This window comes from Homo sapiens, chromosome 2 (assembly GCF_000001405.40).
Source record: "Homo sapiens chromosome 2, GRCh38.p14 Primary Assembly".
Classification (NCBI taxonomy): Eukaryota; Metazoa; Chordata; class Mammalia; order Primates; family Hominidae; genus Homo; species Homo sapiens.
Window position 1 is genome coordinate 241,626,149 of NC_000002.12, and position 14,945 is coordinate 241,641,093.

The 14,945-nt window shown below is 51.4% G+C and overlaps 2 protein-coding genes across 11 annotated transcripts in view, besides 8 other annotated features; one reads left to right on the forward strand and one right to left on the reverse strand.

Annotated features, from left to right (window-relative positions):
- THAP4 (THAP domain containing 4) overlaps positions 1–11,428 on the reverse strand; it is a 53,172-nt gene extending 41,744 nt beyond the window's left edge. For 2 of the 4 annotated variants that reach the window (XM_017004256.2, XM_011511291.3), the window contains exons 1-2: positions 11,214–11,428; positions 6,769–7,931 (exon numbers count right to left, since the gene is read on the reverse strand). In XM_017004256.2, coding sequence (XP_016859745.1) covers positions 6,769–7,931; positions 11,214–11,362 — 1,312 coding nt within the window. In that variant the 5' untranslated portion in view covers positions 11,363–11,428. Of the gene's footprint in view, positions 1–6,768; positions 7,932–10,792; positions 11,011–11,213 lie in introns of those variants that run through there. The other 2 variants (NM_015963.6, XM_005247016.5) reach the window with 1 other exon arrangement.
- Positions 10,533–10,672: a silencer, noted in NCBI's record as "silent region_12547". NCBI's record gives its function as "represses an Ori minimal core promoter by ATAC-STARR-seq in GM12878 lymphoblastoid cells {active_cell/tissue: GM12878}" and the evidence as "EXISTENCE:reporter gene assay evidence [ECO:0000049][PMID:35858748]".
- Positions 10,743–10,812: a silencer, noted in NCBI's record as "silent region_12548". NCBI's record gives its function as "represses an Ori minimal core promoter by ATAC-STARR-seq in GM12878 lymphoblastoid cells {active_cell/tissue: GM12878}" and the evidence as "EXISTENCE:reporter gene assay evidence [ECO:0000049][PMID:35858748]".
- Positions 10,843–11,192: a silencer, noted in NCBI's record as "silent region_12549". NCBI's record gives its function as "represses an Ori minimal core promoter by ATAC-STARR-seq in GM12878 lymphoblastoid cells {active_cell/tissue: GM12878}" and the evidence as "EXISTENCE:reporter gene assay evidence [ECO:0000049][PMID:35858748]".
- Positions 11,166–12,093: an enhancer, noted in NCBI's record as "H3K27ac hESC enhancer chr2:242576729-242577656 (GRCh37/hg19 assembly coordinates)". NCBI's record gives its function as "activates a minimal SCP1, AML or CMV promoter by ChIP-STARR-seq in naive H9 embryonic stem cells {active_cell/tissue: H9 hESC(naive)}" and the evidence as "EXISTENCE:reporter gene assay evidence [ECO:0000049][PMID:30033119]".
- ATG4B (autophagy related 4B cysteine peptidase) overlaps positions 11,545–14,945 on the forward strand; it is a 36,165-nt gene continuing 32,764 nt past the window's right edge. For 5 of the 7 annotated variants that reach the window (XM_005246992.5, NM_178326.3, NM_013325.5 and 2 more), the window contains exon 1: positions 11,545–11,576. In XM_005246992.5, the coding sequence (XP_005247049.2) occupies positions 11,567–11,576 (10 nt within the window). In that variant the 5' untranslated portion in view covers positions 11,545–11,566. Of the gene's footprint in view, positions 11,577–11,782; positions 12,040–14,945 lie in introns of those variants that run through there. The other 2 variants (XM_047443741.1, XM_047443742.1) reach the window with 2 other exon arrangements.
- Positions 11,563–11,612: a silencer, noted in NCBI's record as "silent region_12550". NCBI's record gives its function as "represses an Ori minimal core promoter by ATAC-STARR-seq in GM12878 lymphoblastoid cells {active_cell/tissue: GM12878}" and the evidence as "EXISTENCE:reporter gene assay evidence [ECO:0000049][PMID:35858748]".
- Positions 11,633–11,822: a silencer, noted in NCBI's record as "silent region_12551". NCBI's record gives its function as "represses an Ori minimal core promoter by ATAC-STARR-seq in GM12878 lymphoblastoid cells {active_cell/tissue: GM12878}" and the evidence as "EXISTENCE:reporter gene assay evidence [ECO:0000049][PMID:35858748]".
- Positions 11,863–12,002: a silencer, noted in NCBI's record as "silent region_12552". NCBI's record gives its function as "represses an Ori minimal core promoter by ATAC-STARR-seq in GM12878 lymphoblastoid cells {active_cell/tissue: GM12878}" and the evidence as "EXISTENCE:reporter gene assay evidence [ECO:0000049][PMID:35858748]".
- Positions 12,493–13,026: an enhancer, noted in NCBI's record as "H3K4me1 hESC enhancer chr2:242578056-242578589 (GRCh37/hg19 assembly coordinates)". NCBI's record gives its function as "activates a minimal SCP1, AML or CMV promoter by ChIP-STARR-seq in primed H9 embryonic stem cells {active_cell/tissue: H9 hESC(primed)}" and the evidence as "EXISTENCE:reporter gene assay evidence [ECO:0000049][PMID:30033119]".

Sequence of the window (14,945 nt, forward strand, 5' to 3'; positions counted from 1 at the left end):
ACATATAAAAAAACTACAGCTTGGTGGCTCACGCCTGTAATCCCAGCACTTTGGGAGGCTGAGGCGGGCAGATCATGAGGTCAGGAGATCGAGACCAGCCTGGCCAACATGGTGAAATCCCATCTCTACTAAAAATACAAAAATTAGCTGGACATGGTGGCACATGCCTGTAATCCCAGCTACTTGGGAGGCTGAGGCAGGAGAATTGCTTTAACCAGGGAGTCGGAGGTTGCAGTGAGCCTAGATATCGCCATTGCACTCTAGCCTGGGCAACAAGAGCGAAACTACGTCTCAAAACAAAAACAAAAACAAAACAAAACAAAAAAACAAAAACCAAAAAACAACAACAAAGTACTACAGCTCACATCATAAGGAGGAAAAAAAACACTGTTATTATTTCTGCTATTTCTTAACAGTTTTTGTTTTTTTTTTTTAGACGGAGTCTCGCTCTGTCACCCAGGATGGAGTGCAGTGGCGTGATCTCGACTCACTGCAACCTCCACCTCCCGGGTTCAAGTGATCCTCCTGCCTCAGCCTCCTGAGAAGCTGGGATTACAGGCACGTGTCACCATGCCCAGCTAATTTTTGTATTTTTAGTAGAGACAGGGCTTCACCCTGTTGGCCAGGCTGGTCTCAAACTCTTGACCTTAAGTGATCTGCCTGCCTCGGCCTCCCAAAGTGTTGGGATTACAGGCATGAGTCACTGAGCCCAGCTAATCTGGATTTTTGAACAACTTTATATTGTGAAAAATCTTGAACATTACAAATTAAACAGATTAGTGTAATAAATCCACACACATGTCCCTAGTTTCACCATTTATCACTCTTCTGACATTCCTGTTTTGTCTGCACTTCTCCAAACTCTTCAGCTTCCATTTATTATTTATTAACAGATTGTTTTTAGGACAGAAAAATCCAGCAGGTAGTACAGAGAATTCCTTCACCCTCTCACCCCCTGCCCTGTTCCCCTATGATTAACATCTTGCATTAGTGTGGGTATGTGTGTCTCAAGTTACGAACCAATACTGATTCATTGCTACAAATAGGGTCCATAGTTTACATTAAGGTTCACTTGTTTTGTACTTGGATTTTGACAATCCAGATTTCAAGAATTATATGTAGATAATGAATCCATAAAGGAATAAAAAGAAAACAGATTTTGAAGCAAGTGTTAAATTGCTGAACTTAGGAAACAGGTGAATAATATTTAACAGGCGTTGGTATCCTTACTGTATCAAGAACGTTTATAACTCAGTGGGCAAGCAAGACCGCGAACACGTGGTTCATAGACGTGCTAACAATGTACCCTCAAGGAATCGCTGCTGGCGGAGAAGAACACTACGTCCACAGAACGCCACCGGGCACTGCCTCTGGAGCGTGGCTTCAACCCACCTCTGAAGCCCACTGGCCCGCATCCTTCAGTTTGGGGAACCTGCCCAAAAGCAGACACTGGCTAGCGAGCTGAATAGACAAGTGTGCGGCGCTTTCCACATAAATCCCTAAAGAATGACCCAAAGAGTCTGTCACTGAAGAACAAATCCACACGGACAGCAAGAACCACAGAGTGCAGACCCCAGGGCCTGCGACGCCGGCGTGACAGACTGCAACCCCAGGGAGAGGATGTCCTCTCCCCACCACACCCTCGCTCCTGCCACCCCTGTGCCCACACCGCATGCCCAGCCGTGGCCTGGCCTCACCTTTGGAGGGGCACAAGGCATGCAGGGTGGTGCCTGCACCTGTCCCTTGCTCTCCAGAGCCTGGCCCTTCACAGCCCTCCCCACTGACACACTCTCTTTGGAGCCACACTCCCTCTGGCTCCTGTCTACTTGCCTCACTCCACTTCACGGCCAAACCTGGCCCTGACCCCTCATCACTGGCCCCCTCTCCGCCCAGCTCCACCAGCCTCTCCAGTGAGATTCCAGTAACCAGCGACCCTGGGAGCACATCCAACCCCCTTCTCTCCACTATCCTGGGGCACATCCAGCCCCCTTCTCTCCATTCTGGTCAGAGTAGCACCCAGCACAGCAAGTCACCCTTCTTTCCTGAACAACCCCTCAGCCTTCCCCTGGACCCGCCTCGGCTGCCCCTCTCTCAGCGAGGCCTGCTCCTGGGCCGGGCACTGAAGCCCAGCCTAGAACCACACTCGACCCCCCAAGGCTTCAAACACCTCTGCCCTCCACCCCCACACTCACATGCCCAAATCCCAGAGGCCAGCTGCTGGCCTCAGACTGCCTGTTCAAACTCTGGCCTCAGCACCCAAGAGCATCTCAAACTCCGTTCCTCACCCCCATCTCCTGCTCCTCCCCAAAAGCCTCTCCCACTTAGCATCCTCCAGGTGCTCAAGCCTAATCCCTGTAGCTGGCCTGCTGATCTTTTGCCTCTCAACCCCCTGAACCCAGCCAGTACTCCAGCATTGCTACCACCGCCACTTCCTCCCTAAAGTCTGAGCCATCGCCATCTACCCTGGGACTGCCACAACAGTCACCAGCGCCCCCCTCAAAACTGTACTGGAATAGGATTTTTTTTTTTTAAAGTCATGGCTGGGTGCGGTGGCTTACCTGGCCAACATGGCAAAACCCCATCTCTACAAAAAAAAAAACAAAAAACAAAAAAAACAAAAAAACAAAAAAACACACAAAAAATTAGCCGGGCATGATGGCACATGCCTGTAGTCCCAGCTACTCAGGAGGCTCAGGTGAGAGGATCGCTGGAGCCCAGGGGGTCGTGGCCGCAGTAAGACGAGATCATGCCACTGCACTCCAGTCTGAGATTGTCTCAAAAAAAAAAAAAAAAAAAAAAAGTCATTAAATACTGCCAAAAAGGAGGGGAAACTTGGATACAGCAAACAATGGTAAATAAAGTAACCAGTAAAATGTATACTTCAATCTAATAATCATGGTTGCTTGATGGGGGAATAAGAAGCACCGGAACTAAGATGACATACAGCCTCCACCTAGGGAAGGTGGCACACAGGACCGATCAGCTCTCAACAGTTACACAAAGAGGGGCTCACGTGTTTGTTTTTAAAACTGAAAGATGGGCTGGGCACAGTGGCTCACAATTATAAACCCAGAGCTTTGGGAGGCTGAGACGGGAAGATCCCTTGAAGCCAAGGGTTCAAGACCAGCCCAGGCAACATAGTAAGACCCTATTGCTACAAAAAATTTTAAAAATTAGCCGGATGTGGTGGTATGTGCCTGTAGTCCCAGCTACTCGAGAGGCTGAGGTGGGAGGATGGCTTGAGCCCAGGAGGTCAAGGCTGCAGTGAGCTGTGATAGGACCACCACACTCCAGCCTGGGTGACAGAGCAAAGCCCTGTCTCTTAAAAAAAAAAAAAGAAAAGAAAAAATTGAAACATATCCACTAGAAGAATAATAAGAAAACGGTGAGGAAGCCTAACAAATTAAAAAGGTAGGCCCGAATTCCCACTTATCAGTAATCACAATTGTAAATGACTAAATTACTCTACAAAAAGACTTTTGGATTGAGTTAAAAATATAACTATAAAATAAGATGAAAAGGTTGAAAATAAGGAAATGAAGAAATAAGACGTTAAACGGGACAAAAAGGAGTTTCTTGTGTTGGTAACAGGAAAACTTATGCATCAAACAGCATGGTCTTGAGGCAGAAAGCAAAACTTGGACATACAAGCAGAAACGGGCACCTCCAGAACCACAGGGGAGGTCTACCTCACCTTTCCTGGAAATCAGCAGACCGAGAGCCTGACAAGAAGCTAGGGAACGCTCTGGTCCGCTGACTAACACAAGTAAGCAAGTGCCCAGCTTCAGGCGGGAACAATATAACCAAGGAGTGGTGAGGATACATTCTTCTAGCACTACACTGCAACAGTCACAAAAAGGGACTGTGTTAGCCACAGTGAAGTCTCAAAGGATTCCAAAAAGCAGAACTCCTTCAGTCCTTACCATTAGACCTTAATGCAATCAAATTTTAAAGTAACTACAAAAAAATTTGCTCCCCTCGCCCAATCTGTGTGCACTGAAAAATCTGTCAACACCCTTTTAAATAACCACAGGGTTAAAGGGGGCATCGAGGCTGGAATTACAAACGACTCAGAAATGAACAGCAACAAAAGCAGAGAGAGGCAGATCCATGGCACGCAGCCCAAGGAACAGCAGAGCCACAGCCTCCATTGCAGGGTTAAGGAACACGCCAGGAACCAGAACTACAAGAAAAAACCCAACAAAGCAAAAAGATGTAAGGATTAACCAGCATAAACAACAACTCAGAGACACGAAGGGCTGGCTGTTTGCAAAAACCTGTAATGGAGACAAACTTCAGGAAGTTTAACCAAGAGGAACAGAGAGAAGCTGTCTAAAGCAGCATTAGCTCTGATAACTACAAACAGCTTTAAAATTCCAAGAGAAGCTGGGAGGCCGAGGCGGGTGGATCACCTGAGGTCGGGAGTTCGAGACCAGCCTGACCAACATGGAGAAACCACTGTCTCTACTAAAAATACAAAATTAGCTGGGTGTGGTGGCGCATGCCTGTGATCCCAGCTACTCGGGAGGCTGAGGCAAGAGAATTGCTTGAACCCGGGAGGTGGAGGTTGCGGTGAGCCAAGATTGCACCATTGCACTCCAGCCTGGGCAACAAGAGCAAAACTCCGTCTCAAAAAAAAAAAAAAAAAATTCCGAGAGAAGGCCTGGTGTGGTGGCTCACAACTGTAGCCAACATGGTGAAACATCATCTGTACTAAAAATATAAGAATTAGCCAGGTGTGGTGATAGGGGCCTGTAATCCTAGCTCCTTGGGAGGCTGAGGTAGGAGAATTGCTTGAACCCAGGAGGCAGAGGTTGGAGAACTGCTTGAACCCGGGAGGCAGAGGTTGCAGTTAGCTGAGATCTCACCACTGCACTCCAACCTCGGCAACAGAGTGAGATGCCATCTCAAAAAATAAAATAAAATTCCAAGAGAAAAACAGTATACAATTTCAACCCAAGAATCCGAAAATCTAGATTTGATCTGAAAATCTAGGTCAGCAGTACTCAGTGGCACCGTTCCTCCCCAGGACACATCTGGAGAACATGTCGGATGGGCTTTGTTTTCGGTTGTGCTAATAGCTGTTACCCTGAGGATCCAGGAGGTCCTGAAAATCTTGTCCCACTATCATATACTTATTGACAAGCATTGATCCAGATGAAATCAACAATGTGGTAGGAATATGGTTTTCCTATGTACACGACAGGCAAAGGAAACCATCCGCCATATGTAAACATCTAGAAACCAATTTTAAGAAATACTTAACAGTAAAATATGGGAAAAAACAGAAATAGAGCTAATATACATACAAAGATTACACAGGAAATTTTGTTTTTTGAGACAGGGTCTCACTGTCACCTAGGCTGGAGTACAGTGGTGCAATCACAGCTCACTACAGCCTCGACCTCCCAGGCTCAAGCTATCCTTCTGCCTCAGTCTCCCAAGTAGTTGGGACCACAGGCGTGCACCATGGTACTCGGCTAATTTTTAAATTATTTATAGAGATGGGGTCTCCCTATGTTGCCCAGGCTGGTTTGAACTTCTGGACTCAAGTAACCTTCCCTCTTCGGCCTCCCGAAGTGCTGAGATTACAGGCAAGAGCTACTGTGCCTGGCTTACACACCAAATTTTTAATAACAACAAGGAATAGAACTTGGGAGGTGGATGACAAACAATAATTTTTTTACCACTTCTTAGTCTATTTCTGCAGTTTTAATTTTTGCAACAGAGAATGTATTGTATTTCTTTTTTTTTTTTTTTCTCTTTTGAGACAGAGTTGTGCTCTTTGTCACGCAGGCTGACAAAGAGTAGTGCAGTGGTGCCATCTCAGCTCACTGCAACCTCCGCCTCCCAGGTTCAAGCTATTCTCCTGCCTCAGCCTCCTGAGTAGCTGGCATTACAGGAGTGTGCCACCATGCCCGGCTGAGAATGTGTTTCAATAGATGTGTGTCTTTTTTTTTTGGAGACAGAGTCTTATTCTGTCACCCAGGCCAGAGTGAAGTGGTGCAATCCTGGCTCACAGCAACCTCTGCCTCCCAGGTTCAAGCAATCCACCTGCCCCAGCCTCCCCAATAACTGGGATTACAAGCGTGCACCACCATGTGCAGCTAGTTTTTGTATGTTTTAGTAGTATGTTTTTGTATGTTTCACCATATTGGCCAGGGTGGTCTCGAACTCCTGACCTCAAGTGATCTGCCCACCTTAGCCTCCCAAAGTACTGGGATTACAGGTGTGAGCCACCGAGTCCAGCCTCAACAGATGTTTTAATTGAATAGATGTTAAAATAATTATTAATGTTCATGATGATTTAACTTCAAGGATATTCCTTAAAACGTGAACAGAAAGAACCTCCTCATGATTTTAACAGTTTCTGATATTTGCTTTTTCTGAGAGTTTACTCTCTTATTTTCCATCTAGTTCCTAACTCATCTGGAATTTCTGTTGCATAAGGTATGAAACAGAAGCTATCTTTCCCTGTGCACTCTCCACGGAGGCGTTCAGGCACTCCTGGCTGACGCGTGCTGCCTGCCTCCTTCACGGCCTACATCCCTACACACACAGATGCCTCTTGTGGGACCAGGTGCAGTGAGGCCTGCTTTCTAACCTGGATTCCCTCATCCACAAGGTATGGTTACGACCAGAGCTTCCTCCTGAGAGCGCAGGGAGCTTGTGACACCTCCCAGAAATGCTCAGGGGACGCTGGCCACCTTGCAGAGAAACCCCTCCTAACGGGAAGGGAACATGGGTACGCGAGGCTCCGGTACTGACCGCGGCTGGGCGACAGCAGGCTACTTGGATAGGGGACGCTCACTCTCCTCAGCTCATCCAGCTTCTCCTGTAGCTTCCGCACCTGGCTGTCGGAGCGGCTGACCCTCTGCCGCAGGCTCTTCAGCTCGCCGTTCTTCTTCTCCACCTGCTCCCGCAGGCAGCACACCTGGCTCTTGTTCTGCCGGGAGGAGAAGCAGTAGGAGTGCAGTGAGTCGATGAGCTTGCAGGCCCCTGACGCCGACAGGATGACCTCGTTGATGGACATGGGGCTGGCGTCGCTGTGCTCGCTCTGCACGGCTTCCGTGGCTGGCTTTGGGGTGACGTCGGCAGGAGGGGCAGAGGGGCTCTGGGAAGGCTTCTGCGGTGTCGCGGTAAGTGATGAGCTGGGAGGGCTCTGGGCCAGGCCCTTGTCGGGTCCCAGGCTGCTCCCACTGCAGCTTGGTTCCACATCTTTCTTCAGCCTCTTGCGGTCAATGGGCTCTCGGGGGACAGATGGCCTTTCTCGGGTGTGCTTAGAGGAGAAACTGTACGAATGAAGTGAGCCGATAAATTTGCACGCCCCAGATCCTGGGGGCGTAAAGTCATCCATAGAAATGCCACTCTTATCTGTCACGCCCCCTTCGATGGAGGAAGTGGCGCTCTCATCGCCAGCATCTGTGGCAGACGCTTCTGCTTTTCCCTGACTGCCTGCCACCATGGTGGCCAGTCCATCTCCTGGAGTCCGTTCCAGAGCTTGCTGGGCCTGCTCCTGGCTGGCGGCCTCCTGGGCCGCCCTGGGTGTGGCTTCACCTTGCAGAGCAGCTTGCTTCAACCTGCGGGACTCTGGCTTGGCCATCGGGTTTCCACTCGAGGACGGTGACCAACCTGCAGCTCCTCTGCTGGTGGCGGCACTCGAGTGTCCCCTCACACCCCCTGTGGCCTTGCTGGCATCTTTTCTCCGGGTGCGGCCATGGCCTCCAGCCCCCCTCTTCTTCTCGGTCAGGTGGAAGATGGATGGCACGGCCGTGGGCTTCAGCAGGCGATGCTGGTCCTCCAGCCTCTTGGAGAAGCTGTCTTTGGTGAAATGCTCACTACAGAGAAATGAATACTTAGTGGGAGTCCAGTTATCCCTCTGAACAGCTTTTAACCATTGGATTAGACGTTTTGAGTCCTTTAGGGGGAACCTACAGGACAAATGACAAAAAGTAATTAGAAATAATTAAATGTCTCCCCTTAAAATAATCAACTGTAAAAGCAAAACAAGTATTTTTGCACGCACCCTAAGCCGTATTGACTTCATCCACTTAAAAAAATACTTCAAAAAGATTTAAAGAACATCTTCTACCTGCAGTTATTACTGGAGTAGAAATCTGAAAGACCCGTTGTCTACCCATACAGAGCTTATAGTCTGTAGGGCGGATGGGAAAGAAGGTAACCAACTGCTCCCCAGGCTGTGGTAAATGCCCAATGGGGACACAGGATGCTGACAGACAGTGCCAGGATGGCCTCAGGACAGCAGGAAATAGCTCCTAGAAGCTGACTGCTAACCAACCCTCCCAACTTGCCTGGAAGGTAGGACTCTGGGTACCAAAACCAGGGCCAGCATCCACAGACACTAGGGCGTGAGAGGTCAGGACTGCATGGAGGCAGCCCTGGCTGTGCGCAAGCAGCTGAGAATCTGGAGACCTCCAGAAGACTCCAGAGCTACAGTTCTGTGTTCCTGTTGCATGCCCACCTCCAGGAGTAAAAATGCTCCTTTTAAAAGTCAACCAGCCCAGGGACAGGGCACAATGGTGCTCACCTGCAGTTCCAGTTACTTGGGAGCCTGAGGCTTGAGGGTTCTTTGAGCCCAGAAATTCGAAGTTACAGTGAGCTAAGACTGCACCACTGCTCCCCATCCTGGGGAACAGAGTGAAACCCGGTCTTCTCCCCTCAAAAAAAATCAACCAACTCAGATGATCCTTGAGGACATTATACTGAATGAAATAGGGCAGGTGCAAAAAAACAAACACTGCATGATACCACTCACATGAGGTACTCAGAGTAATCAAATTCATAGAGACAGGAGAATGCGGGTTCCCAGAGCCTAGGGAGAGGAGGACTGGGGTATTAATGTTTAATGAGTCCAGAGATTCCGCTTTACAAAATAAAAATAATTCTGGAGGTGGATGGTAGTGACAGCTGCACAACAACGTGAATGTATTTGTTGCCATGAATTGTACACTGAAAAAGCGGTAGGAAAGGCTGGGAGCCGTGGCTCATGCCTGTGATCCCAGCTACTCTGGAGGCTGAGATGGGAGGACCACTTGGGTCCAGGAGGCTGAGGCTGCAGTGAGCTACGGTCATACCATTGCACTCCAGCCTGGGTGACAGAGTGGGACTCTGTCTCCAAAAAAAGTTAGGATGGTAAATTTCATGTTACATGTATTATACCATAATTTAAAAATGGTGAGAAAAAAGCAACCAGCGCAGGAAGATACTGAATAGGATGTTTAGTCATTTCTTTATTACCTAATAAAGATCCTTCATAACCATTTCTTCATTAAGGCAAACTCTGTGTTTAAGAACATAGGCCTGGGCCGGGCGGGGTGGCTTATGCCTGTAATCCCAGCACTTTGGGAGGCCGAGGCGGGTGGATCACTTGAGGTCAGGACTTTGAGGCCAGAGTTCGAGACCAGCCTGGCCAATATGGTGAAACCCTGTCTCTACTAAAAATACAAAAAAATTAGACAGGCGTGGTGGCGCTTGCCTGTAATCCCAGCTACTTGGGAGGCTGAAGCAGGAGAATAGCTTGAACCCAGGAGCGGGGGTTGCAGTGAGCCGAGATCGCACCAATGCACTCCAGCCTGGGCGACAGAGGGAGACTCCTTCTCAAAAAAAAGAGAAAAAAAGAAAAAAAAACCAGGCCCTAATGTGCACATAAGGGACAGGGTGGTCAGTTCTAACTGCTATTTGCTCCACCTGAGGCCAGTGTGGACCAGGACAAATCCTAACAGGATGGACTGGGCCGTTCTAAGCAACAGGACCTTCTAACCTCCTTTCTGAACACTGTGAGGCCAACTGCAAAGGTACCCCCCCACCCCCAATTCCGATGTCCTTTCCTCCCATACCATGTTAGACCGTTGCAACACGTTGCCTCGTTTTCAAAAAACAATAACAAAACTTCTAGGACACAAGCTCTGAAGGAAATTGTCAAGAAAGTGCGCTGGCTGACTTGTGAAATAATCTAATGTTACTAATTCTTATAATACATTGTAATGATTTAAGACTTACAGCAAACTACTGTGAACTTTCAATAACCCTATAAATAACACGTGCCATTCCCGTCTTTAAAACTTAAATAACACCATGCAACATAAAACAGAAACATCTCCAAAGTGGTTTTTAAAGTCTGTTCGCGGTTCTGGTGCCTCCCGCGTGTAATCCGCAGAAATCTCACTGAAATAGGCTGAACTCACAAGGCCTTAGAGGGGTTTGGGCCCTGCCGCGGGGGCCCACGTGGGAAGCGGCCGAGAGCCCCGGGCCAGGCTCTAAGGGAGCGCAGGAGGATGCCGTCCCCAGCCGGCCGTCCCGTAGACTCTCCGCGCGTACCCGCGTCCTGGGCTCGGGGGCCCAGTCCCGGAAAGCCCTCTCGGGGGCTGTCAGCTACGGAGGCGCAGGTCGCGTCTGCCCGGTCGCTCCTGCTCGCAGACATCCAGGCCGACGGCCCGCGCGGTCCGGAGAGTCAGCAGTCGCGGCCGAGCAGGACAATCGGCCCAGGACCTGCGCTTCCAGAGCGTGCGGCTTCTGAAGCCTAGGCGCCGGCCGGATCGATCGCGCGCAGGGCGGACCCAGGCGGCCGGGGTGGGGGCGGCTGCGCTGCCCGAGGCGCCCGGCCCAGAGACGGCGGCCGGGCCAAGGTCACACAGCGCCCACGCCCGCTCCCCCGCGCCCCGGCCGCCGAGGCCCGGCGCCCCCGCCCCCCGCGTTCGGGCCGGCCGCGGGGCCTCAGTTTCCCCGCAGGGCCGGGTCGGGGCGGGGGCGTGGCGGCCCGGGGCCCGCGTACCTGTGGAAGGAGACGGCGCGCTTCTCGCCCTTTCCCTGCCGGTTGGAGCAGTTCACGGCCGCACAGCAGATCACCATCGCGGGCCTTGGCCCAGCCGCGCAGCCAGGCCCCGGCCCTAGCCGCCCGCCCGCCCGCGGACCGCCCCGAGGGAGGGAGCGCGGCGGCGACACGGCTCGGGACGTGGGCCGGCCCGCGGCGTCCGCGCCGTACGGCAAGATGGAGGCGCAGGCGCCCGCAGCGGGCCCGCCCCCGCCCCAGCCCCCGCCCGCGTCCTCGCCAGCCGCGGGTTCGGGCGTCTTCGGACCAGCGGGGCGCCGCAGGCCCCTCGCAGCGTCCGTCGGCAGGCGGGCAGACGGGCGGGGGAGTCGCCCCGGCGGGGCAAGTCCGTACCGCGACATGGGCGCGCCGAGCACGTCCGTACCGCAAGATGGCTGCTCGGACGGGGACAGAGCTCGCCTCTGCCGCCTCGACAACTGCTCCTGGGTCCTCTAAGAGGAGGAAGCGCCACCCATGGCACACAGTGTCCCGTCGGACAGCAGAACCAGCCGTCGTCCCACGACACGACCCCATGCCGCCCGCAGGGCGCCCCGGGGCTCGCGTCGGCCCGGCCGTACGCCAAAATGGCGGCTCCCGCGTATTTCCGCTCGCGCGCCGTATCGTCTTCGCCGCCTGCGCCGGCACACCTATTGGCCCCCGCGGCGTCCCGTCGCCGCGTCGCGTTGCTGGCCCGTCGGAGCGACGCCGCTCGGGTCAGTCGGCGGCCGGACTGGGAAGATGGACGCAGGTGAGGAGTTGCCGGGGGTCGGTCTTTCCGCAGGAGGTGCTCGCCTTATCATTGGCCTCCCCTGCTCGGGTCGGGCTGCCGCGACTCGCCTCGGGGCACGCCGGTGCGGGCCAGGCTGGGCCGGGGCGGCGGGCGCTGCGGGAGCGCGGGGCGGTGTTGGTGGGTGGTGGGCGGTGGGAGCGGGAGGGGGACGGCGGCGCACTGCGCCGCGGAACCCGCCGTCGGTTGCGCTGGAGCTTCTGCTTTTCCGGTCCCGTCCGGAGCGCTCCGGAGGTTGTGGCTGCACAGGCCCTTGCGCCAGGTCGGCCGTGGAGGGCGGCGGAGCCTGCCGGGCGGGGAGAGGCGCGGCGGCGAACGGGGCGGCCGCGGTCCGGGCCGGGGACGCGAGCGGCGGGCGAAAGCGTAGCCTTTCCGCAGCTGAGCGTGAAGGGATGGAAGCTCTTTAACTTTTATGAAGTTATTGGTAGGTTGGAGGAGAGAAACGTGACGTGTTCATCACAGTATACGTATCTTTTTTGTTTTTGTCTTCAATTTAGTAACCAGTAGATTCTCCAAGCTGCTTTTCCGTGACGAGAAAGAGAAACAGTGAATTTGTATCATCGGGTCTTAGTTTCTTGGGGTCCTAAGAGAGAGAGAAAGAGAAGGAGTGTGTGTGTGTGTGTATAGGGAGTGTTGGTTTTTTTCCTATCCTTTCATGCTTCCGCTCCATTTTTGCTAGCAAGATTATTTTAAGTCAGCGCCAAACCCATCGCTAGCCCAGTAGCCCTAGAAATATTTTTACACAGAAGTTTTAGCTCATTCATTCTTTGTGGGAACTGATTTGCCTTTTACCAAGTATCCCCCATCTGTAAAGAAAGATTTTCATCTGGTTTAATTCTGTCATTCTGAATGGGATTGTTTTTACTTTTTATTTTTCTGGTAGCTACAACATAAATTTATTAAGATCTGAGTTGGAAAACTGTAATGTGTATTGCCAATATCTATTAAAATGATTTGTAGCAGCTCACCACTTAAATGTGGTAGGTGGCTGGAGGAAACAGGAGCCCTGACTCCCTAAGGAGCATGTTGACCAGGTGTATATCTTGTGAAGTTTGTCTTTTAGAATAACCGTCATTCACGGTTGAACTATTTGCAGCTGTGTACTATTTGTTGTTTACTATTTTACAACTGTTGTATTATATCTTTTTAGGTGTTATTGTTTGTGATGCAGGATTTTTCTCAGCCACTCTGGCAGCCAGAGACCTCCGGCTGGCGAGGCCCCTGCCCAGGCCTTGCTTGGGTCCAGGCTCGCCGCAGGAGATACCCCATCTACTTGGTCCACCGGTGGGCACCTGGTTTGCACTATGGCACGGATACCATGGCCACCATGACTGTATGCTCAGCCCCTGGCGGGAGTGGGTGTGTGGGTGAGTGAGTGCCGGGTCCCGCCAGCTGTTTCAAGCGCAGGCACCAGAGTGGGCTCTGCAGAGCTTACAGCTAGACATGTGGCAAGCAACTCCCACGGCGGACTCCAGCGTCCAGACAAAGGGACAGTGGATTCTGGTGTCCAGACAAGGGGAAGGTAGTGGCGCCCAAGCAGGGGTGCTTACAACCCTGAAGCCCAAGAGGGGGTGTTGCAGAGTGTCAGCAGCCCTGTTACTCCCATTGCCCTGCTCCAGGCTATAGCTCTGGGGCTGGCTCCGTCCCCGCTGCTTCCCTTTGCTGCCTCCTGTCACGTGGGGTGTCACAGTGGGTGGCTGCCCTTTGCCGGCAGAGGGCCCAGGGCCACAGTGTTACAGCCTTCTTTGTACTTGCATTCATTGGGTCCCTAGTTCTTGTCCCACGTCCAAGAAGAATGAGACTACACTTAACACTGACAATCGAAGGGTGAGGAGGGTGGAGAATAGTTTTATTGAGTGATGAAACACCCCTCAGCAGAGAGGGGACTCAAGGGTGGTCTTCCACCCAAAGTCGGGTGGTCTCCCTTGGTGTGGCTGGGTCCAGGGCTTTTATAGGCTCAGAATGGGGAGTGTGTGCTGATTTGTCTGTGAGTATGCAAAAAAGGTTAAAACAAAGTCACTACTCAAAGGTGGGCACAACAGTGTAATAAACCAATTAGAGAAAAGTAGGTATATGTAAAATAGGTGAAGGGTGGGGATTAATTAGAGGAAAGCGCACCAAACAGGAAGAGAGGTTCGCAATCCAGTCTGTGGATTTATCCGAGACTCGTCGCTTGGCTTTCAGGCTTTAAACTGTGGCTTGAAGGTTGGGTTTCACTGGTGACCCACCCCTCTCTGCCTAGGATTTGTCTGCCTCCTGCCTCTATCATTTCGATACCTTGAGGCTGGAGTATCATATGAGAGACTTGGCTAAGGTCAAAAACACGGTTCAGTGTCGATCATATGACCTAAAATGTGAAAATCATCATGTTCAAGTTGGGAGAACAGTTATGTTGTTACATGGCGATACTTTATTTTATCTTTTATTTTCCCTTGACAACTGTGTTGACATGGTGATACTTTAATAGGACACTGGATGTTGCTGCATGTGGGATCAGAGTAGAAAAGGTGTTTGCATTTAAAGGTCTCTGTTTATGCTGATAAAAACGTATATGATGTTTGTAGGATATCATGGGGAATTTTCCTTCTGACTTGATGCTGTATTTCCTTTCAGAGATGATTAATGATCTGCCCTCCTTTGATCTCTAGAGTTCTTGAAGATTCTGCCTTCCTTGACCATGTGTAATACAGTTTCTGTTCTGATAGTCATTAATTCAATACACTGTTTGTTACTGACTGTCAGATATGTGTTAGGCATTGTTCTAGACACTAGGACTAGAGAAGTAACAACATAGATGAAAACCATTGCCCTGGGGTAGCTAACGTTCTAGACATGAGACCAGCATTAGCAGCGAAGTGCGTGGCTCCTGGGGGATGGTGATTTGGGCCAAGGATGAGGAGGATTGGAATTGTAGCCAGGATGGCCAGGAAGGGTCTCACTCTGAAGGTTTAAGTTTTGACGAAGACTTAAAGCAGTGTAGGAGGAAGGGCAGGTAGCAAGAGCCTGGTGTGGCTCAGGTGCAGCGGGTGGCGGTGGGAGAAGCAGGAGCTGAGGATAGAAAGGTGACTTAGGCTCAGTGTAGTGGGGCCTTGCCAGCTCATAGTGAGGACTCGGTGTTTATTCTGAACAGGATGGCAGCTCATAGTGAGGACTCAGTGTTTATTCTGAACAGGATGGCAGCCGTTTGGAAGGTTTCATTCTAGAGGAGGAGTCACATGATAGACTGTGTTCAACAGGCTTGCTCTGGCATCTCTTTTGAGAATGTACTGCAGAGGGGCAAGGGCAGAGGCAGCGAGACCAGCTAAGAGACTGTTGAACAAGCCAGCAAGG